This window comes from Homo sapiens, chromosome 5 (assembly GCF_000001405.40).
Source record: "Homo sapiens chromosome 5, GRCh38.p14 Primary Assembly".
NCBI lineage: Eukaryota > Metazoa > Chordata > Mammalia > Primates > Hominidae > Homo > Homo sapiens.
In genome coordinates, this window is record NC_000005.10 from 98,852,120 (window position 1) to 98,876,730 (window position 24,611).

The 24,611-nt window shown below is 32.8% G+C and overlaps 1 protein-coding gene across 11 annotated transcripts in view; it reads right to left on the minus strand.

The window, feature by feature from the left end:
• Positions 1–1,865: 1,865 nt before the first annotated feature.
• CHD1 (chromodomain helicase DNA binding protein 1) overlaps positions 1,866–24,611 on the minus strand; it is a 75,023-nt gene continuing 52,277 nt past the window's right edge. For 4 of the 11 annotated variants that reach the window (NR_157078.3, NM_001376194.2, NM_001270.4 and 1 more), the window contains 13 exons: positions 24,279–24,439; positions 22,953–22,994; positions 21,474–21,604; positions 20,298–20,436; positions 19,932–20,082; positions 18,568–18,684; positions 17,635–17,763; positions 16,376–16,516; positions 11,289–11,467; positions 7,853–7,949; positions 6,845–6,896; positions 6,061–6,271; positions 1,866–4,606 (listed from right to left, as the gene is read on the minus strand). Coding sequence is in view for 9 of the 11 variants with exons in the window: in NM_001376194.2 (NP_001363123.1) it covers positions 4,261–4,606; positions 6,061–6,271; positions 6,845–6,896; positions 7,853–7,949; positions 11,289–11,467; positions 16,376–16,516; positions 17,635–17,763; positions 18,568–18,684; positions 19,932–20,082; positions 20,298–20,436; positions 21,474–21,604; positions 22,953–22,994; positions 24,279–24,439 (1,896 nt within the window). In the remaining 2 variants the exon portion in view is untranslated. Of the gene's footprint in view, positions 4,607–6,060; positions 6,272–6,844; positions 6,897–7,852; positions 7,950–11,288; positions 11,468–16,375; positions 16,517–16,894; positions 17,159–17,634; positions 17,764–18,567; positions 18,685–19,931; positions 20,083–20,297; positions 20,437–21,473; positions 21,605–22,952; positions 22,995–24,278; positions 24,440–24,611 lie in introns of those variants that run through there. The other 7 variants (NM_001364113.3, XM_024454344.2, XM_024454345.2 and 4 more) reach the window with 6 other exon arrangements.

Below are 24,611 nucleotides of genomic sequence, written 5' to 3' on the forward strand. Positions count from 1 at the left end.
GCCTCAGCCTCCCGAGTAGTGGGGATTACAGGCGCATACCACCACACCCAGCTGATTTTTGTATTTTTAGTAGAGACAGGGTCTCACCGTGTTAACCAGGTTGGTTTCAAAGTCCTGATCTCAAGTGATCTGCCTGCCTCGGCCTCCCGAAGTGCTGGGATTACAGGAGTGAGCCACTGCACCCAGCCTTGCAGTTTTTAAAACTTTTAATGTCTTAGTGTAAAAGGGTTGAGTTTGGTTTTACATATTTTAATATTACATATCTATTAGCTGTCTAAGTGGAGATGAGTTCAGGGTAGTGGTTGAAGCTGAAGATAGCACTAGAAACAGGAAGAGAAAAATAGTACAGCTGTTGAGAAAGAGAGAGATCAGAAATTAAGTCTTATGATAGCAATGATATAGGATTCCAGAAAGTAAAAAGAAGTGGGTAAGAGGCAACAGCTGATAAAAAAAGAAATTTAAAAAAAATAAATAAATAAAACCACCACACCAGGACTTAATATAGTCAGCCTGCAGAACACTAGAGACAAATCAAAGATTTGAAAAGTAAACAGAAGGAATAAAAAAAAGTAACTAGTGGCAGTTCCATAGCTCATTCTAGATTGGAAATCTAATTAATATTAGTCAACAATAATGAAATGATAATACATCACACATTTTTCAGTCACATAAAGTTTGCATATCACCAACGGAAACAATATCCTTAGCTCATTTAATAGAATCATTAGGAGTTTTAGACTGTTCATACCTCTTTAGTTTCATATTTAGATCAGGACTCAAATGTGGAGTAGAACATCGAATTAAAATAATTTCATTCATTTGGGAGTTGGAACTACAAATTTTGTTTCAAATATAGATGTAATTTTTTTTTTAAGCTAAAGGGCAGAGTGGTTAGTGGCCTTTTAGTGTAGAAAATCCAGCACATGAAGCCCCATTAGAGAATTTGTATAGGTACTTGGAACAACCTTTTAACATTTTTCATTAATCCTACTTTCCCCAGTAATCTCATCTTTCATCCTTTTACACCATAGCTAAGATTTCCTATTCCTAGATCTTCCTATGAGAATTCAATGAATTTCTGTAATGGAGTCAACCTATTAGGTCCTAATTTTTTAAAGAAAATTAGCATGAAGTGTTCTACAAAATCAATTACTAGTTATTGTCAGAAAATATAATCTCAAACTTTCTTCCAAATATCTATAATTGAATCTTAGAAATTTTCACACACATTTTGACACTATCTCAAAATATTTGTCGCATTACTATCTAGTTGTGTCCTCTATAACATCCTCCATTCACTACAATTATTGTACAATGCTAAAATGTATCTAAGTTTTGTCTGCATTTTCAAATTGAGTATTTAATGTATATTTAATAGAGGCATCTATATTAATGTGCTTTTACATATTAACTCAGAAATATTTTAAAATATTTTTGCAGTTTCCTATGAAGCTGAAAGTCGTTTTTTAAAATCCTGTATTTAAAAATTAGTTGCTCTTCCAAATCCCTATCCCTTTTTAAGCTGTTGTATTTATAAAGCTATTTGTATTTATAAAGCTATGACAGCTAATTTGGGGTGCAAAGATTATTTTCTAGTTAGAAATAGTAATGGGGTAGAGTAAAAATCAGGCCATTTACTCCTAGAGCATATTCTTGATAAACTTCATGAAAATGAATAACCTACTCAACCTTTTCATATTAACTACAAAAAGAAATTATAATTTATATTACATAAAATTAAAAAGGTTCTCATTAAGCTACTCACTCTGAAAATAAAATTATTCAAACTCATTTTCCATAGTCTGAAAATTAATTTCTAACATACTCTAAACAAAGAATATCTTTATAAGCAAACAGGCTATTGCTTTTAGTAAGAATTATTTATTGTATAAAAGTGGAAGGTTAATTGGTACAGTACTATACATAATCTCTCACCCTTGAAAAATTAAACATAACTGGATAAAAATAACAAAGCAGAATGAAAACAGAATATTTTATGGAGAATGTTCTGCTATATTTATGTACTAATGTTCTTCACCATTGCGTCTTAATTTTTCTGATTTCTTACAAAAATGAACATATTTTATCATTTGATAAATGTACATACAGTTCTATATTTTTCATTCAACTCAGCTAACTAGCTGACTGAAACTTTCAACTAAATGTAGCACTATTTAAAAAATTAGAGCCTTATCTCAGAAAATGCAACATTGTTCTGTGAAATTTGCACAATATAATGCAAATATCTTAGCTTTTAGTAATAAATTAAAAAATGCCAGCCACCATCTTATGACTTAAGCATTATGAATTAGTCAAATGCTATCTTGTGGAATAAAATAGTCATACTAAATGTAGAGAAAAGTGATAAAAGTTTCAAAAATGTGTGCCAGGACTACCTTCATTACTTTTATATTTAATTATAAATTAGATGTTTAAAAAACTGAGCTACTCCCTCACATGTTCTCTCATATACCAGAAAAGAAACAAAGCATTATTATTCTTCAGGGTAACTGTATCAGAAAGAGAAATTACTGCAAAAAACAAAACAAAAAGCAAAAAAACCCACAAGCTTTTATACACATAAACCTAATTGGACAAAGGAAAATATTAAAAAATACACCTATGGACAAATATCTGTAGGTTGCTCCCACAGCTAATTAACAGTGACACACATAGCAATACTATAGAAATTATGTCCACATACTTATATTCGTCAAAGATTCAAATTTGTTACATCAAAGCATACATGCAAGAATGTGTGCCACATGACTTAAAAACTTCCCGCTGAATATAAAACAAAATAAAAATCTGTGAATAAATATAAAGCATCCCATAATAATATCTGTAGGAAGCCAAAAGGGGCCAACAAAAATGTCTATGACCTAAGTTTTACTTCATAGGAATATTCATAGTCTCCAAAACAGATTTAGTTGTAATGCTACACATTACAAATATTCAACTGCTTACCAAAATACTTTTTCTGGCAGCAAAATGTTACTTAAAAACGGGGGTAGGGGGCGGTGGTGGTGGTGGTAAGTGCTTGAGGGAGTAAGAATGCAGCAGAAAATTACAGGAGCCCACATATCCTTTTTCTTAAATTTAATTTGTCATATATAACGTTTTTATATACAATCAGTGTGCATTGTAACAGTTTATATTAAAAGTCAATCAAGTTTATCTAAAATGTTAACCTGGCTGCATAGCACATTTGACATTATTGCCCACATAAAACGGGAAAACAAACGGATTTACAATAACTTTTGGCCGTTTTGGATTCTGAAAAGTGTTTATACACCTACCCTTTTAAACCAGATGCATCTGAAAAAAGTGTTTCCAGAGCATGCAGTTTAGATTTTACATATCTCGCCATTTTTTAAAACTACAAACACAATATTGACTAAAAAAGGAAAAAAAAGGGAATAACATGTATCTAATAAAATATTCAGTATAAAAAGAGGACTAATGGAATTAAGTGGCCCCTTTCCCCATTTTTACATTCTAAACAATGATTCCATCAAGACAAATCATTAAAAAGTGTTATTACACTGATTTTTTTTTTTTTAATAAGAAGGCCTGAGTTGGTAGGGAAAGGAACAGTCAAAAAAAGCCTGAGAAAGGGAAGGAAGTAAGGAAAGTTCCTTTAATATTTACAATAATTTACAGCCATTTTTTTTGTAAAAAGGCATAATAGATCACAAACAGGAAATTCCTGGCTATTTTACAGATATAAGTACAGAATTTAAATATTCAAGCTTGTGATGAAAAGCGGCAAGGTGGTCGCAGTGTACAATGTAAACAAGTAGCTTTGGAAATGAACAAAGTCCTTGAGTGTTTTTCTTTATTAAGAAAGAACTCTCTTTCATTCCTTCCTGAAACATGATCACAGGTCAGAGTAAAGTTCATATATAAACATAATTTAAATGGAGGTCAGTCTAAAATCACTGACTTAAAAACAGTTTTATCCAGCCTGTATGGGAGGGCAGTGTTGAGGTCCCTGTAATAGTAAACATTTTCCATTTCTTTAAAAAAGAAAACAAAAAAAAGTACTACAATTTTGTAGTACAGTGCAGCATAATCCTTAAATATAAAAATATTTTCTCTTCTGTTGGGATAATAGACCTTGCATCCTGGAAAGAAGTAACAATACTGCTACTGATAGAAGATCTGTTTATATCTTTCAAGTCATGTAAGGCAATTACTGTGTTGGTTTATGATATATGGCTAAAAGAAAAGTCCAGAAAGACGAAGTATCAGTTTTTGTTATGTTTTCCGACTACTCCAGGTATGCTCCGGTGTACTTTTGTGTTCAACTGAATGTTCAAATGGAGATCTGGAGCCATAAGGAGATCTCTGATCTAGTGGTGACCTAGGGCCACTGCTGGAAGCTCTGTGGTCCATTTGCCAGTCTGAGTGATACCTATAATCCCTGGAAGATTTATGGTGCGTATATTCAGAACTTGACCGGTGGTCTGAATGTAACCGATGATCTGAGTGAGAACGATGATCAGAATGAGATCTATCTTTTAAACTTCCTTCCAAATTTGACCTGTGATCTCTACTCCTGTGATCATCCAGTTTTCTGTGTTTCTCTCTGTCACTGTAATATCTAATAAAGAAAAATTGAGAATTTTAGACAAATCATGCAAATTAAAATGTTTCCAAATAAAAGATAACTAAAAAACATAAAAATACCTTAAAACATGTTTTTAATTGTATAGAAATTCAGTGTTGCATTATAAAACTTACTTAATTAACTCAAAAATCACTGGATATATCTCTTTGGAAAAACTATTTGATTCATAAAACTAAAGCGAACCATACAAAACCCCTAAAATAGCATCTAATTTCACATGGCTATTTTAGATAATTAGCTGCTTTTTATTTTACACATCATTTATATGACTGCATCTTAATTGTCTGGAAGCTGAAATTAAGATTATTACAACTATCTGAAATACTCCTGAGACCAGAGCCTTTTACCAACCTCTAAGCAGGAAAAAGTTTAAAAATGCTAGAATGCAGTCTATGCTGAAAAATTTTTCACTGGTTGCTGATGCCTATTAAAAGCTTCCTCAAGTTTGACTAGTTATATAGTAAGACTCGACACATGAATCATTACGAAATTTACTCCATACAAACATGTGACAGCTTGATAAAAAATAAATGTGGCAGTTTAATGAGAATTATTCTCTAAAATGAGTGCCTTTTCCAAACTGACACACACACAACTGTAACTATATTGCATAAGCCTGTGAAATATATACTATAAATCTGCCTTTTCCTTTTAATTATTTGACCCCTTCAAATAACAGCCATTCTACAACTGATGTGTTCATAGTGCTGACAGAGGTTCTCAAAGAAATTATTGTAATGAACACTAAAATACAAAGATGTCTTCTAATTTGTTTCTTCTACTTACTATAAAAGCATAAATACTATAAATCTCAGTTTTCAAGTTTACTTTTAGTAGTGATCATTAACTACCGAAAATACTTCTTTATCAATAAAGGAATAAAAAGTATTCTGATGTTATTACACTGAGGTTGCTTACTGTTCAAAGGCTTCAAAAAACAATAAACAAAAAACCTTCCTGGTTCCAATAATATTCCAGATTGCTGAGGTTAAGTTTTACCTCAATGAGATGTGTTCACATATATTAATTTTTCCCGACTTTTTAAAAATATGGAATGCAAAATTTCCTAAACCAAACCTGAATCACTATTATATCAAGCTTTTATCCCACTTATTATATTTTAAAGAGTATTTGAGCCAATATTCTTCAAAACGAACAATGAACCCCACGCAATTTATAATCATACAACTCCCTACATCACCTTACTACATATTTTGATCTCAATTTTATAATTCAAAATCCATTTTATAGAGAAATTCAGTTCTTAAAATATATACATTTTTCTTAATTATATACAACACCTTTATTTCACAAGATTTGTTTTGACTGCATGAAGATTGAATTGGCTGACAGGTCAAATACAGGAACATCATGATAAGGAGAAAAACATGCATAAGCAAAATTTCTAAAGTGACTGCCAAGTTTACCTGCTGTCTTGCTTGTAGTGATCCCAATCACGATGGTCTTTACCATTACTAAAAGAAGAATAGGGTCTTTTCCTGGAATCACTTTTTTTGTAAGAATCTCCCTGATGTCGGTCTTTATGATGATCATGGTACTGAGTTAAGTGTCTATCAGAGGAATAACTGTCCCTGCTGCTATCATCGTGATTTGTATTCTCTTTTAATCTTTCCACATCTGTTAGATAAGTACAACTTTTATTAATGACCTTAAAAATAATGTGGCAAAAAAAACTTAGTTGATAGATAACAAGAATTCGTTTCAACCCTTGCCAAAACAAAATCGGTTCCCAAATACAAGCAGTTAAAGCATTTAGAAATGGTGTATAAAAGCAGTACTAAGGATTAATTAAAAAAGGTTGCTTGATTCTGAAATGTCACAAAAACTAAAAAATATGGGACCTATTCCTTTCTCAGACTATACTTTTGTGACTCTGATACAGAAAGAATGCATTACTATTCCAAATTACATAAAAAAGAATATTTGTTCATTTTAACAGTCATTCTACAATTTCTAGAAACTGAGAAAAGGATGATTAAAAGGATAATAAACTAAAATGAACTACAGTTTAAGAGAATACATTTTACATAATAATGTAGGTATGTATCAGAATTACTGTATCTCCTTAATATAAAGGTACTTATAAATAAAAACAAGGTAAGAACCTTTTTTATCATTTGGTTTATTTAAAACAAAAATTTAAAAAAAATTTTTTTTAATTTATTTTCCCAATCAGTAAGGCTTACATACCTGGATTTCTAATCACGTGAGGATTCAAGTTGCTGTTTTGATCACTGTTTTGCTAAAATAAATGCACACGTGTTAAGAATCTTTAGGTGACTTCACAAACTTACAAAAAAGCACAGATAATTCTTAGAAAATACTGATAATGAAGTCTTCACACAAGATATTAGAATGTTTATGTGTGTATATATACATGTATGACATTTATAGATCTCCATTTTTAAAGCATGAACTACTTGTCCCATGACTTAAAGATATTTTTTCATTTTGAAATAAATTGACTTAACAGAAAGGTTGCAAAAATACTGAGTTCCCTTCATCTAGCTTCTCCTAATGTTAATATCTTATACAAACATAGTATAATGATCAAAACCAAATAATTAACATTGGTATAACACTATTAATTGAAGAACAGACTTCATTCAGATTTCACATTTTTCCACTAATGTTCTTTATCTGCTCGGGGATTCGATTTGGAAGCCCATATTACACTTAGTTGTCACGTCTTCCTCTGGGACAGCTCCTTAGTCTACTGCATGCTCTTAACACTTTAGAAGAGTAGCAGACAGTTATTTTATAGAATATCCGTCAAGTAGGGCTTGTCTGATATTTTCACATAATAACACATATATTTTTGGCAAGAATTCCACATAAGTGATGTACCTTTCTCAGTATCAGAGGGTTCATGATGCTGATATGTCTTAACTATTGGTGACATTAACTTTGATCACTTGTTTAAGGTGGGTCAGGCAAGTTTCTCTATAAAGTTATTATTTTCCCTTTATAACTAATAAACATTTCAGAGGAGATCTGCCAATATCCTGTTTTCTTGCCCATTAATTTTACCTCTCTTCTGTGAATCTCGCCTGCAACAATCATTACTGTGGTGTTCAATGGTGATTTTTTAAATTTATCTTATTCATTCTGTATTTATTAATCAAACTGCTCTGTAAAAAGAATGTCTCAAGGTTTTAATTATATAAATTCAGGGAAAAAATATGATGTCAAGTTTACCTGAGACTCCTGCCGTTTTTTAATAGCATGCTTATATAATTTATGTAATTTTCTTGCATCAAATTCAGTAAACTTAGATACAAAAATCCACAGGTTTCTAGAAGAATTTAAAAAAAGGCAAATTAAGTTAGTCTGGTGGAAAATATTTAGTTTTTTTCATGGAACTCCTTCCCTCCAGGCACAAACACATATACACATACACAGCCCTCTATGGAACAAACTCTTAAGGATATTAATTTTCCTATGCATTTTTTCAAAACTTCATATATGACTAAGACTCCAGTGAAACTAAACATTAAATTTTACTTCTCTTCCAAATCGCTTCATTTTATAGTCTTTAGGGTGAAAAGCAGTACAATCCTAATTTGAAATGCACCAAAGACATAAATTAAATCAGGAAGTGACTCAGATTCATATTGTGATCCTGATTATGCATATAAGGGACAGGTATGTTAATAACTGGAGTGGAAATACCATCAGATAATATGAATTATGCTTGTAAAGAATTGTCTTAAATAATGCATTAAAAAGTTAACTGTCACTTAATAATGGTAATGTAATGGTCCCAAGAGTAACACAACCAAACACCATAAATGAGGTACAGTTTGCTATCTCTTCCCATCCCAAGGGAGGCATCAGTAATTAATCAGAGACTGTAATTATTTCACAATGCATGTGTATATCAAATCATCAAATTGTATACCTTAAATATATAAGGAACTGTAATTGTCAAATATACCTCCAAAAAGAAAAGGAATGTTAGGTTCTAAGTTAGGGTAGTATCCCTAGAAGATTCAAATATACACTAGAGGTATAATATTTACCTTGAAATATATTTTTAAAATGAACTTTGAGAATATATTGAATGATACCTTACTGAAATGAAATCCACAGAAGAAGGAAAATTCATCTAGCCTTTATATAAATTCACAGACTATCTCGAACATATCTACATTCTACGATTAACTTATAAGGGTAAAAGGTAGGAAGTTAATAAAGTACCTTTTTGTTCCTAAGTAAATTCCTTATAAAAATATATTTTCCCCCCAAAAAATCTAGTCAGGAATCAGATTCTGGTCTTAATTATATCATCCGAATGACTGTCTGATCTTGAACAAAGCACCAGAGCTGAGGCAAGCGTCAGCACTTACACAAACCTAAGAATTAGTGCCTCTTTTAAACAGTTCAGGTCCTAGGTGTTTCCTTTGTCATTCTCCAGTCCCAGCCCTAAAATGCTTTTCATCTGAATCCATTTTTTTCTTCTGTAAAATGGAATAGTAAATATCTGTTCACATTTTCTACAATACTATTAAAAGGATCAGCTAGAATGAGGCATATTTAATAAGACAAAATACAAATATACATTCTATTTTGGCCATCACTTTATTACAGTCATCTTTAAATAAAAACTAGTCTTGCATTTCAGTTGTTTTTAAGAAATTTGGTCAAAAAATATATTGAAAAAAATTGTAAGCAAAAAACAAAAAGATCATTATGGTAACTACTGTAACACTTGCTTAATGCCAACTGTTCTGTAATTGTGGTTTAGATCTCTATCTTCTTTCATTCAGGAAAGAAAGGGAAATATCCCTTAAAGCAAAATAGCTGCGACCTCTACCTCCTGGGTTCAAGCGATTCTCTTGCCTCAGCCTCCTGAGTAGCTGGTTCTACAGGCACATGCCACCATGCCCGACTACTTTTTTTTTTTTTTTTGTATTTTTAGTAGACCACCGTCTTAGCCAGGATGGTCTCAATCTCCTGACCTTGTGATGCGCCCACCTTGGCCTCCCAACGTGCTGGGATTATAGGCATGAGCCATTGTGCCCAGCCCACAATGACTGTTCTTGAGGGGATCGGGTCAGCCAATGATAGGTCTTAATATAAGGTACTTTTTTTTCTTGTTTCTGCATTAAAAATAAAAAAAAAATTCCCCCCAGCACTTTGGGAGGCCAAGGCAGGCAGATTCCTTGAGGTCAGGAGTTCAACACCAGCCTGGCTGACATGGTGAAACCCCATCTCTACAAAAAATACAAGAATTAGCCAGGCCTGGTAGCGTGGGCCTGTAGTCCCAGCTACCAAAGAGACTGAGGTGGAAGGATAGCTTGAGCCCAGGAGGCGGAGGATGCAGCGAGCTGAGATTCGCCACTGCACTCCAACCTGGGCAACAGAGTAAGATTCCATCTCAAAAAAATAAATAAATCAAAATAAAATTTCTCCAAGACAGCAAAAGCTATTTTGCTTTATGGGATATTTCCCTCTTTCCTTCCCCATCTCCCCCTTAAGGGAATTTGGTTTAACCAGAGAGAGTGGCAGCAGGAATGAACAATAAGGAATATGAAATCAAAGTAACTGAGAACCAAACAGGGGAAAACCAAAAAGGTAATCTGCCCAACTGAGTAAAGAAAAGTGAGGTGAGAGCACAGCCTTAGGATGTAAAGTGACAGAACACAATGAAAAAGTTAAGTCTCCTGGCTATTAGTCTCTCTTCTTCCAAAGGTTTCCCCACCCTTTCCTTATAACAAACCGAATTTGAAATGGTACCTATTTGTATTAGTCACTGTGTAACTTTTTTTATTTTACTTAAAATTTTATTTCAAATTCTTTAATTCTTTGCTCATTTTTAAATTTACTTTCAACCAAATTCACTGTGTAATTTCAATAAGATGTTCCTTATTTCTCATCTAGAAAGCAGAAAAGGTAGACATTCTAACTCTTTGAACCTCAAAAATCTAAGCCCTAATTATAAGGATTCAAAAAATTGGTGAAGATACAACTAAGTATTTTCATTCAGTGGTCCTCCAAAATGATAACCCATTCTTGGCAAAAGGCATTATTTAAAAGAGAAGTTGCCAGGCTTTCAAATTTTATAGTTCCAGTTAAATGTAAAAGATAGAAGCCAAGCATTTTTACACTAATAAAAGTAGAGAAGAATTTTAATATAATCCTTTAGATTAGCTAAATTTAGCTTTAAGAACAATTTGCACTACATTACCTTTATTTTCCTAATTTTTTGCATTTTACATTGCGTGAGGATGTTAATTTTTACATCTTTATACATGTATCCAGGAGGTAAATTGCTAAATTCAAGCAACAATAAACTTTGTGGGAACACCAACTTCAAAAGATATTACTGATAATAATTTGGTAAATTGCAAAGACTTTTTCAAATAAAATGCAATCTGAATTTTAATGAAACAGCTTTCACTATTTCTTTAAAGGCAGAGATGCCACTTGTTACATACCATGATACATAAGTAACCACTCATAAATAAAAAAATTTAACATTAAAGGGAGAAAAATTAAAACAATCATCTGTAGGTTACCTCTTTAAAAATTATCTTGTTACCTAAACTTCAGAATCAGGAAAGAAAACAAAAAAAAAAAAAGACAGTTATATAATATAAATTTAACACTTCCTGAAAAGTGTATCACTTACTTTCTCCATTGCTTAATTTGTTCAGGATTTGTATACTCTTTTAGACATTCTGTGATATGGTCTCCAATTTTTATTAAACATTGTCTAGTATGCTCTAGTTGTTCTCTTTCTGAAAGGCCTTTCTCAGGCCTATCAAGTTGTTTCAAAGCTGCTTTAACAGGCCTCATTCTTTCTTTACACTTTAAAATGAGAAAACAAGAATATAAACACATGTATTAAAAACCTAAATTCAACAAGGTCTACCTCCTTCAATGATATTTACATGAGTATAATATTATAACACTGTTTGATAGCAAAATAAGCAATTAAATCTCACTTCACAAATCTTATACATCAGGGTTCTTTCCCCTTTAGATTTTCTTCAGGAGAGCAAGCCTTTCTGTTATCATTTAAAATCAGTCTTTGAGTAAGTAAAAGTTTTGGATTTTACTTAGCTTCTACAAAAATGGTTATTTTTTATATTGTAGCACACTATTCTAAGGAGTCTTAAATATAGACTATTAAAAGATAGTAAAATATTTCAGAGTATAACTTAATACCCTACTATCCACTAAATACAGGGTAAAATGATTTTAGCAAAACTATTAAAATCAATATAGCTAGATATATAAACTGTATTCTTCCAAACCTTTGTGATAACAGAAGGTGGCAATAATGGCTTGCTCTTCATATTTTGGGTGGTTGGGGAGTAGAGGGTCAAAGGGTAACTTTTTCCTTGGCCTGTACATTCCTGACATGCTAATAAAAGGATGACATATTAAGAATTGCATGTTTTATTGTAGCAATAGGCACTATAACCTTATGCCAAAATCAGAATAAAAATATTACTAACAAGGCAACCGTCAGATAAAATTTGTAAATGCAAAAACAAATAAAAATTTAACATCATATTCACAGAAAGCAAGCTGGTTTAGTTCTAGGAATATAAGGATGATGGGTCAACATCAGACAATGCATTTAGATAATCCAACATCATTTATTAAGAAATTGGGCCAGGCATGGTGGCTCAGGCCTGTAACCCCAGCACTTTGGGAGGCTGAGGCGGGAGGATCACTTGAGTCCAGGAGTTTGAGATCAGCCTGGGCAACAGTGAGATCCTGATTCTATACCAAAAAAAAAAAAAAAAAAAAAAAAAAAATTAGCCAAGCATGGTGGCGCACACCTGTAGTCCCAGCTACTCAGGAGGTCAAGGTGGGAGGACTGTTTGAACCCAGGAGACTGTAATGAGCTGTGATCATGCCACTGGCACTGCAGCCTAGGCAAAAGTGAGACCCTATTTCAAAAAAATAAAATAATAAATCCTCACACCACTGCTTTGAAGGACCTCTCTTATTATAAATAAAATTAGAATTCAGTCAGATCTGATGCTTTAAGAAAGGGAAAATCTTTAATTTCCTTTCTAACTTTTAGTTTATTCATTGCTTTTATGTTTCCTATTTTTTGTTCAACTTTGGCAGTTTATATTCTGTTAGAAAATAATTTATCCAACATATGTAAGTTTAGTACATACTATGTTCTAGGCATTGTTCCAGATGCAGGAAATAGAGCTGTAAGTAAAACAGATCCTGCCTTTATGGAACCTGGACTCTAGTATAAGAGAGCCAGTAAATGAACAAGAAATAGTATGTCAGATGACAACAACTGTGATAAAGAAAAATAAAGGAAGAAAGAGCAGGGAGCTTCCTATCTTATCATAAGCAAGATTTCAAAGAAGGGCAATGTTTGAGAGGACACCTAAAGAAAATGAAGGAGCAAGCCATTCCAAGTAGAGGAAAAAACAAACATGAAAGTCCTAAAACTTGTTTGACATGTTTTTTAAAAAAGTATGAATGCCAGTGTCGCTGGAACCAAGTAAGTCAGAGAAGTGGCCGGCAACGATGGGAGGTGACTAGATGCTACGAGGCTGGTTTCAGGCTAAGAATCTTTTCTCCTAAATGAGATGGAAAGCCACTGGAGTGTTGTAGGCACAGAAATATAACGGTGTGACTTTATTCTCCCTCTAAGTCATGATTACTCTGGTTGCTATGTGGAGTACAAACTGAGGTATGAGTAGGATGGAAGCAATAAGAACAGACCCTGACAATAGTCCTTTGCAATAGTATTTAATCTATTTTATAGAAGAAACTGAAACTTAGAATACAATGACATCTGTCAAACCCAGCTCTAACTGACCTCAGACTCTGCTCTTTCTTGACTGCTAAATTATACTGTCATTTAGGAAGACAACCAGTAAAAGGAAAATCAAGGTGCCAAATGAAGCAAATATGTTTAGAGAGTGACGACCTAGAAAAGGCCATTGAATTTCATAATTACTTAGAGCTATTCCCAAATACAATGGAATTCCTTACTTAGAGGTAAAATCCTATACAGGCCAGAAAGTCTGGCTACAGAGTCCACGTTTAAGAACTATTCCAGTCTTCATTTCCATGATACACACAATATCATTTAAGATTAATGGAGAGGAAATTCATGCATTGTGCACAGCAGGAATTTTTCCATTCCAGCAGTTACATGAAAAAGTCCGAAGATTAAAAAAGAAATGTGGGGGGAAAAAAAGGTGGCAAGAGATACAATTTCACCTAATTCATTAGTAGACCACATAGAGAAGGGGAAGTAGCTCCAGTGAAAAGTTTAATGTTTTCACTTCAAAAAAGCTAAAGAATACCACCTCCCCTGACTCCCACCCAATACAGAGTAGGTAAAAAACAAAAACAAAAACAAAAAACAAAAACAAAAACGGTTACCCTTGAAAAAGAGAGAAGAAATTCCAGCCTGTGAACCTGCAGAGGAGATAAAAATAAAAGTCCAGAGATAAAAAATATGGCTCAAATAAATAAAATGGAAGATAGGAGCTGCAGCAGCTTTGAATGTCTCCAATACTCCCAGTGACTGGAAGAATGTCAACAGCTCAAAGTAGGGAGAACAAGAGGATGGTAAAAAACCAATATATTTAAAGAGCATGAACAATAGTTGAACTATATTAGGGCATGTTGTGGAATCAGTAGGAAATACATTAGTGGGTTCATTAAATCAACACTGTCTAGTCACGGTGCAAAAGAAGAGAAAGTAGGACAAGAGGATAAGCTGGGGATCTAGAAGGACATAATGGGTTGAAAACAAATATAATTTTAGAAGGTGAAATTTTCCCTCTTTGAAGTATAGCATTTGATTAATACTAGTGATAAAGCTGACACCCAAGTCTAACAAGTGACTGAAGTATGTTAACTGCTCCAACTAGTATAAAAGATTCAGATGCTAGAAATCTCTAAAAAGGAAATATAGGAATATATATTTATATATAAATTTGTGTATATTGTAACTATATATAAACATGACACATCTATATATCAGACTATAAGTGTTTCCTTCAGTTGTGGCTTGTAAGGAAACATTTCCTAGTCCTAGTTAAAGCCAAACTACATTATCGGTCTCGTATCACTCAGCCCTTTTTTCTCTAACATTATTATTTCTTCCTGGTTTTGCTCTGCAATTGGACTTTTTAGTCTCACTCTTATCTGCTTCACATGTCTGAATTTAGGAACAACATCTACAACAATCACTTATCGATTTCTGAGCTTTTCTGAAGACAGCACTGATCTGTAAACTTTACATGTACCAATTCATTTAATCTTCATACTTACTTACCAAATAGCATTCTGCCTCAAGAGTCAGTACTATTAAGCACATACATACTGTTATATTATGTAATTACATAAGTATATAATTATATTCAGTAAATAAATTATGAATACATACATTGAGTAAATTATAAATAAATACATAAATTATAATTATCTTCAGTAAATAAGGTCTTTAGAATAAAGGCACAGATAGTTTCTCCCTCACTTTGAGGAACGCAAAGGCATGACAACATGGAGAATCAGTATATTTGACAAGAGATATTGCCAGTCCAAAACAACATCGGTACAAAAACTGAGCCTGTTTAGAAACTCATAATTTGACAATGCAACTTTATAGCTACTGCATCTACTAACAAAACATTAGGCTCATATTTTGTACATAATTTTTTCTTATTTCACTTTTCTAGTGAAACATTTCATTCTTCTTGTATTTTTTAAAAAATATATTGGTCTGCAAAAAACTGGGAAAAAAACTAGTCCTTCACCATAAATAAGAAGCACTATTACACATGTGTGTGTGTGTGTGTACATATTTATTTTTTAATGGCATTGGGAATTTAAAAATTTGAAATACGAGCTGGAGGAAAACAAATTCACTCAAAGTACTTGTTAAACCCCTCTTCTTAAAAGTCTTTATTAAAAAGTCTTTCCGAGTTGCTTCTAAATTTAAGACACCAGCTGGGTGCGATAGCTCATGCCTGTAATCCCAGCACCTGGGCCCACCTTGGCCTCCTTTTATCTTCCTTGTTTTTTTTTTTTTTTTTTTTTTTGAGATAGAGTCTCACTGTTGTCGGCCCGGGCTGGAGTGCAATGGTGCAATCTCAGCTCACAGCAACCTCAGCCTTCCAGGTTCCAGCAATTCTCCTGCCTCAGCCTCCCGAGTAGCTGAGATTACAGGTGCTCGCCAACACACCCAGTTAATTTTTGTTTTTTTTCTTAGTAGAGTGTCACCATGTTGGCCAGGTTGATCTCAAACTCCTAACCTCAGGTGATCCACTGCCTCGGCCTTCCAAAGTGCTGGGTTTACAGGTGTGAGCCACCATGCCCAGGCTTATCTCCCTTTTACGCCAAGGAGTTCGAGACCAGCCTGGGTGACATAAAAAATCCCCATCTTTACAAAAAACTAAAAATTAGCTGGGTATATGGCACATGCCTCTAGTCCCAGCTACTCGAGAGGCTGAGGCAGGAGGGGCACTTGAGCCCAGGAGGTTGAAGCCGCAATGGGCCGTGACTGCACCACTGAACTCCAGCCTGGGCGACAGTGAGATGCTAACTCAAAAAAGAAAAAAAAAAAAAAAAAAAAGACACCCTTCAAATTTCAAATACATTGCTTTTATCAATCTACAATAAATTCAAATGCAGTTCTAAATTAAATGCTATAAATGACAAACTTCAACTTAAATGTTTTATGAGTTAATACTAATAATCAGAAAGTCTAAGGCTTACAATGCTGAATGTCTTCTGATCCAGCTCTTCAGATTCTTCAGAAATGGGAACTGGTTCACCACTTGCCGTGATATGAACTGGAGCATCTGACACTGAAGATTTCTTGGATCTTTCCCTACCATCAGACTTGGATTCACTCAACTAAAGAAAAAGTGAAAAGAAAACAAAAACAAAACCCCAATAGCAACAAAGGCAAAATGACTAACACTTCCAGAAAATAATTACTGTCTCATTTTATTCTACAAGTGCTCATTCTCATTGAATATCCTCATCTATTTTAATTTGTTTTTTTCCCCAATTTTATTTGGGGAAACAATCAAAGCTACTCTGTAATGTTACTCTGAAGGTAAAGCATTAAAGAGTGTTCAGACCTACTATTCTCCTCTACTGCATACCCAAACATGCTTCTGAAGAACTCAGTTATTGAGACTAATAAGGGCTGATATGCAATTTAGTCTCCTAAAATGTAAATATGCTGATTGTTTTTACTTTCTACATTTTTTATTATGATTTGCATACCTTTTCTTCCTTTATGTCTTTTTCTTTCTGTATAGCTTCTTTTACTTTGTTTTCTCTTTTTTCTTTAAAATCTTTTTCCTTTATATCTTTCTTATCCTCTTTTTCTTTTATCTCCCTTTTAAGTTCTTTTTTATTCTCCTTTTCTTTTGCTTCCCTCTTTTCTTCTGGTTCCTTCTTTATATAAACATCTGGCTCAGGTTTTTCTTCACTGTCTCTTTCTGTTTTAATTTTTTTATTTGGATGTTTCACAGAACTGATCTCATCCTGGAAAGTGCAAGTATGGCCAATGTATTACTAACCAAATTTTAACAACGACTAATTTTTCTTCATATGACTACAGATTGCATGTATGTGGATTCTGAAAGAGCCCAGAATCCCCCTAATAATGATACATGCAATGTTTACCTTCCTATAAACTAAAGTAAGCCAGTCCCATTCAAGTTCATAATACAATTAAAAGAGACAGAAGCTCATCAAATTGGCAAATGTTTGAAAAGGAAGGACCTTTGCTCTATGCCTCTAGTGCTATATAATATCTACTGGACAGTTAGAATTCTGTTCTATAATTGAGACTGTTATGAACTATAAGTGCGTGCGCACGTGCGCGCGCACACACACACACACACACACACACACACAGACTTCGGTACCTAAAATATAAATTTTAAATGTAAAGTACACAAAAACATGCCATATTCCCTTTCCATAGAAAAGGTTGTTGTTCTAAAACACATTCTTACTTTATCATCATCTTCATCAGACTTCTCTGAAGGCAGAGGAGAAGAATCACTCTTTATTTCCTCTTTCACTTTTATAGACTTCATTGCTTTATTCTTCTTAGCTCTTGCTTTTCTCCTCTTTGAACTTCCCTAAAAATCATTATTTTAATTTTAACCAATTCTACAGATTTCATTTTTAAAAACTTCATAAACATTAAATCCAAGGGCTAGAACACATATTCCTACCTGATCCTTAGTCTATTGGTAATAAGCTGTACCAACATCAGAAACTCAATAAAGGTGATATAACTTAATGAGTCAAATATAATATTAATGTAAATAATAAATACTAGCCATTATTATTCCTTTAAAAAAAGGATCAGAGAGAAGTAGAAACAAATTTTTTACCCTCTGAGATTATTATGGCCTTCAGCTTAATTCTATAGCACAAGAGACTGCATTAGGAATGATTTTTAACGCTACACAGGTAGTTATTGACATTATGGTCACAGGTAAACTTCTAACAGTTGCTCTAAGTTTCCAATCACCTCCTTTTTGGTGTCTTTTTCCTTCTTTTTCAGTAAGCTTGGCAACCTATGACGCTGTCCCTTAAGCATTCTAATGACTCCAAGTAAAACAGTCATGTAGGCTATGTAAGGCTTGACTTCTCAAAAAGTACTCCGCACGCTAAACGAGTTTTCTCTATCCCTCTCTAAAACTAGAAAAAAAAAACAGAATCCTACTTCTGAAAGCTATGATTCATCAGTTTTAACATGTATGCTGAGATAATTTAAGGTAAAATTTAAATATGGCAACATCAAATAAAACTACTTAATTACAGAAAAATCCATTTATATAAGCTCATATTGACTTCAGATGTTTAGCATGGTGAAGTAAACAAAATTTACCTTACTAAAAAGTAAACTGGTCTTAGGCATGTGGGCTTTAACTTACCGCACCAGAAAGAGCTTCTTTTTTTGCAAGATCTCTACTAAGTAATTTGATGAGGTAGTCTGCACGGGTCTGCAACTGTTTTGCTTGTGGTTTTTTATCGGGATCATCTGGAAGAATCTGAAAAAGCAATAAATTTTTTCAGATTGTCTTAATAAATAACATGAGAAATGTACTGGCTAAAAAATGCTTAACCATTTAAATATATATATAGTTCACCAACAAGTTTCAATTATTAATATTTGTAGGAATAAACTCAATGCAAAATGTATTTTTTATACGTATGCCAGAGCCAAAAATTTAATTTTTCTGAGAATGAATTCTAAACTTCAAAAACCCTCAGATTATCTTTCAAAATGAAAATAGAAAGCATAAGGTTGTAAATTTCCTTCAAATATACAAAAGTGTACTTAACATCCACTATTAAATGTTATATAATCCTTAAACACCTTCCCTTCTCAGTAAAAGTGTACTTATATATAATGTACACAGAAATTCCTAGACTACAAGATGTCATCCTTCTAGAAGAAGACCTAAAGCATACACTGGGAGGAAAGTTTTACAGGGGAATCTAGACTACTTAATTTTTTCTTCACAGTAACAAATGACAAAGCACCAATATCTAAAGGTTCCCAACACACAGGATAAACAATAAGGAAGTTCTCCCAGTGTTTCCCATTTTAGGCAAAAAAAAAAAAAAAAAAAAAAAAAAAAAAGGATTTCAGCTAGCACAGTGCAACCAAATGACCAAAAATACTACAATGCCGATGTTTTTTAAAAATAAATATAAAAGATTTTAAGGATTTTGTCTTACTGGAATAATAAAATTAATGATGAATGGGTACAAATATATAGTTAGATGGAAGAAATAAGACCTAGTGTTTGATAGGTGAGTAGGGTGACTACAGTTAGCAATAATCTATACATTATAAAATAGCTAGAAAAGAATCACTTAAATGTTCCTAAAGATAAATATTTAAGGTGATAAATGTTCCAGTTACCCTGATTGCATCTTTATATATTATATGATTGTATCAAATTATCACATGCATCCAAAAATATGTACATCTATTATGCATCAAAAATTTTTTTAAAGCTAATGATGGAATAAGACTTTTAACCTCGTAATTTGAAAAATAATACACCTAATGCCTTAATAACATATAATTTCACAGTAACGCAAAATCTCAGAAATCATTTAAATTTGATCCTTTCATGCAAAGCATCTTCTAAACGCACCAAGGTCACACAACCAGCTAGTGCCTTGGTTTCCAGATTTCCATTATTTCCAACATAATTTAAAAGCAAGAATTAGAATAAATTAAATTCAACATGAATGGTTAACAGAATCAGAAATAGATAAATACCTTGTGTGTTAGACTGAGGTCAGGATCCATTTTAATCATTTCCCAGCTTCCATATCCATATTCATAGATGCCAATTAACAAATTGGAATCATCTTCTTTGCCCCAGTCTATATCAAAATGAGCTGCCTTTGTGTGGCATGGGATAGTATACCTGGCATCAAAGTTAATAACTAATGATAAGTTTGTAATTGCCTTAACTGAAAAATTAATTTTGAAAAACGTGAGTCATTAGAACTTCAAAATAATATGCTTTATTTCTTCCTTTTTTTTTTCAAAACTAGCCAATAACACCATAAAAATTCAGCACATTCATTTTGCAATTATTGAATAACAAAAATCTTACAATGGAGAAAATAAATCACTCACTGCTTTCTTTCTTCTGGATCAGAAGGAATGGATTTGTGCAAAGGTATTAATTCTTCTTCATGGGAGATGACTAGTTTGGCATTCACCTGTACTCCTGATATTCGGAATGTTGGACCCTTCACTTTTCCGAGTCTACCACCTTGATTTTTTTTAAAAAAACCAGTATTTTTAAAAGTATAAAACATAATTCTACAAAACACCAAGCAACTGATGCTATTACTTATGTTATTTAACAATAAGTATTCCTTATTTATATTATTAAGAGATTACTGGAAAACCTTGAACTTCATTACATATGAACAAGTGATAATAATCTTGCAGATGCAAATTCACGAAAAGTATTTCTCTAAGTGTTTTACCAATTACATAAGATGGATCAATCTACTAATACCGTCAGCCTCTAAATAAAGAATTATAGGATGATGACTCAGGGTTCACTCTGTCGCCCAGGCTGGAAGTGCAGTGGTGCAATCATTGCTCACTGCAGTCTTGACCTCCTGGGCTCAAGCAACCCTCCCACCTCAATTCACAAGTAACTGAGACTACAAGCACGCACAATCACACCCTGCTAATTTTTATGTTTTCATTTTTCTTAGAGACAGGGTCTCACAATGTTGCCCAGGCTGGTCTCAAACTCCTGGGTTCAAGCTAAACTCCCATCTCAGCCTCCAAAAGTGCTAGGATTACAGGTGTGAGCCACTATGCCTGGTCTGCTTATTAAATTTTATCTAAATAATTTTTATTCAGGTAAATGAACAGCAAAATAAGCATAATAATAAAATAATTATGTCCCAAACCAATATCATATGTGTATATTTGCATTATATTTTCCCAGTCATCTATACTAAAAAACCTATAGATACTATACATATTGTACTGTGTGTGTGTATATATACACATATATCTATGAATGTACATATGTGTGTGTATAAAACAGTAATTTCTGACCTTACCTCCCAGACAGAAAATGTCAGGGGAATTAAAAACAGATTCTACTGCCTTCGAATTGCAATTCTGTTCTCCATTTCCTATTACCCAGAATAGCTTTACTTTGTTTTATAAATAACCTTTTGAGACTGATGAATAAATAATTTAAGATATAATATCTAGCTCAATAAAGCATATTTTGAAGCTTTCATTTACTTCTCTTTTAAATCACTCTCAGTTTAATGTTACCTGTTCGTTCTGTTCCTGAAGAACTATCCTTTAATGCTTTAATGCAACCATTATGTACCAATTCTCCCAGTCGTCTAAGGTCTGTTTCTGACTTATCAACTAACTCAGCATCTCGAGCAATTGCATCTAATCTGTAACAAAATAATCCAATTTTCAGGTAAATATGTTAAATGAAGTGGTGCCATTTAAGATTAAGTTTCACTCTATTTCAAGATCTGAATATCACTCTACTGCATGCTCTATATATTCTTGTTCACATAAATGGCAGGAAACACATAAAAACCAGGACAATGTGGTAGACAAACAATTCATTTATATATTCAATAATAATGAGTTTAATTCATTATAGAGCAAATGGAAGATTATATACCAATTCTGTAAAACCTTTTAATAACTGATCAAATTTTAAGATGTTCAGAATGAAGTGGTAAAGCTTTATAATTGTAAACACAAAAGCTGAGTAAAGTTCTGTAACTTTTTATTACTGTGCACCAAATAGATATGAATGATTAATACTCAAGACATTTTTTCATCTAAAATAATTATGCAAGTATTTCATTATATTTTAAGTATGCCATCTCAAAATAAAACAAAATATATCTATTTTTGAAGGGATTTTTTAAGAGTAAAAAAATAAACTAATTTGAGTCTTTGCTGATCTATATTCAGACAGTGGGTTGGCCACAACAAAGGGCAAAGAATATCCAAATCACAATAATTACTGAGATTATCTGATAACTTCAAAAAAACTATCTTAATTTGAATTTTAATACAGTTTGTATAATAAGAGAATGAATTTGAGAAACTTAAGAAAATATCTCTACTTAGGGAAAGCAGAGCTGGTTAAAAGGCTGGGTTAGCCTTTGGGAGGCTGAGGCAGGCGGATCACCTGAATTCAGGAGTTCTAGACCAACCTGGCCAATATGGTGAAACCCCGTCTCTACTAAAAAAAAAAAAAAAAAAAAAAAAATTAGCTGGGTGTGGTGGCATGCGCCTGTAGTCCCAGCTGCTCGAGAGGCTGAAGCAGGAGGATCACATGAACCCATGAGGTGGAGGTTACAGTGAGCCAAGATCGCGCCACTGCACTCCAGCCTGGGAGACAGTGAGAGACTCCATTTAAAAAGAAAAAAAAAAAAGGCTGGGTTAGCAACTCAGCCCCTCTATGGATAAATCTGCTCGTGCTACTTTTAAGTTATTGATGAAAAATGAGATAAAGATTGTAAAAAGTGCCTTACCGTCATAAAAGTGCAATTTAAACATGTATAGATAATTTACAGGAAAGAAATTTGAGACTGGAAATTAAACACAGTATAAAAACATTTTTAAAAACAATCTGAAATTTCCCTTGTACATTAATTTTGTAAATGCCGATTAAAAGCAAATTTAACAAAGTAGCTAAACTGAATGTTAATACAAATAAATAAAGGTGACAGCATGTAACACATTCCATTATTCTATGAGAATAATAAACGTATTTACCTTTCCAGAGGACCACCAAATTTCTTATAGCTCTTGATAAACCTAAGAGAAAATAATTGTTTGGTAAATGTGAGCTTCAGTATTCACTAAAATTATACGTATTTCTGATATTTACAGATATAAGAAAATACTTGTTAGTATAAAAATTCAAGGCACTGTTATCTAAGAAGAATGAATAAACTATGCTAAAAACAAAAATGTTAAAACATTAAGATACACCAGGTAAGACAAGGTAAATTAACATCCAAGATGATGTTTAGATATCAGTATAAATAAAACAATAGAAGCTAAATTTTGTTTTAAAAATTACTTCATTATTTTCATAAGACCAAAAGAAGGTCTGAAGCTACCACAGGAAGTGTCTCCACAATAATTATCAATTATATTACACTTCCTCACATTCCAAGTGCTGATAAAAATTCACTGAATAGCTTTAATTCAGATGTGTATTACACCAACAATGCAAAATTAAAATTTTACTTAAGAAAGCTACGTAAGTGGTTAATAAATGAGGAAAAATATCCAGGTAAAGTAGAAGTCGAAATGCTTCCTCAACTAAAGACGAAAAGTACAGCAATTCAGGTGGTCATGAAAGTGCCTTTTAAAAAGACTAACAATGTATTAAATTTTCTGGTAGAAAGAATAAGGAAGAATTTTGTCAGGTCTAAGATTTTAAAAGAAAAAAGTTACAATGGCTTCAAAGAAACTTTCAAAATACAAAACTGAATAAGATTTTAATAAATGTCATATCCAAAACTATTACATAAACAAAAGTAAGCTGTTATCCCATTCCTCTTAAATAAATGTGTATATATAAACATATTCTGAATGGACACTACAATAAATATATCCTGCCTGGCCAATCTTACCTCATCTCAATTCCTACTTGAACATATCAGAAATGCTTTTAACAGGGTTACTTTCAAAAAGGAAATTACCCTGTTGTTAAGAAACTAGAAAAATACAGAATTTCCACAAAAAATTAGTAACTTTGGGAGTCATAAACACCGTGAGAATTTTTAAAAATCAAATGCATCAAAACTACTTTTATTATTCGAAAGGATCACTATTGAGTCAAATTAATAAAAAAAATTGTGTAGTCTAAGCAGTTTAGCGATAAATAAATAACATGCAAAGATTAGACACCAAACTTGTTTTGTTCAGTTATAACAAATACCCAAAAGCAGAACCACCCAATTCCTACTCAAATAACAGATTTGCCTCTTCTAAAACTTCATCACAATTTTTGAAAATTACGGCGTTTTTACATTTTAGTTTCACACTCTACTAAAACCAAGTTGAAGCGATTGTCTTATAACACCTTACCGCCTAATTTCTGCATCACTAAATCCTTTAATATTCTCCCGAGGAATAGTCCGTGGTCTTCCACGTTTCTTTGGCCTTTTCCCTTCTGAGATGGAATCACTATCAGATCCAGAGTATCTCCTACTTCTACTGCGCCTCCCTTCACTTCCATTGAAACTAATCTGGAATTGGAAAATATTTACCCAACCTTAGTGTAAAAACAGCTTGTATCTTAAGAGCAAAAACCATTATAAAAGATGGTCGGAATCTTAAAAATGTTATTAAATGTATCAAAAACATTCCATAAACAAAATTAAAGAGCAAACAGAGAAAAATATATACCTCTGGTGGATA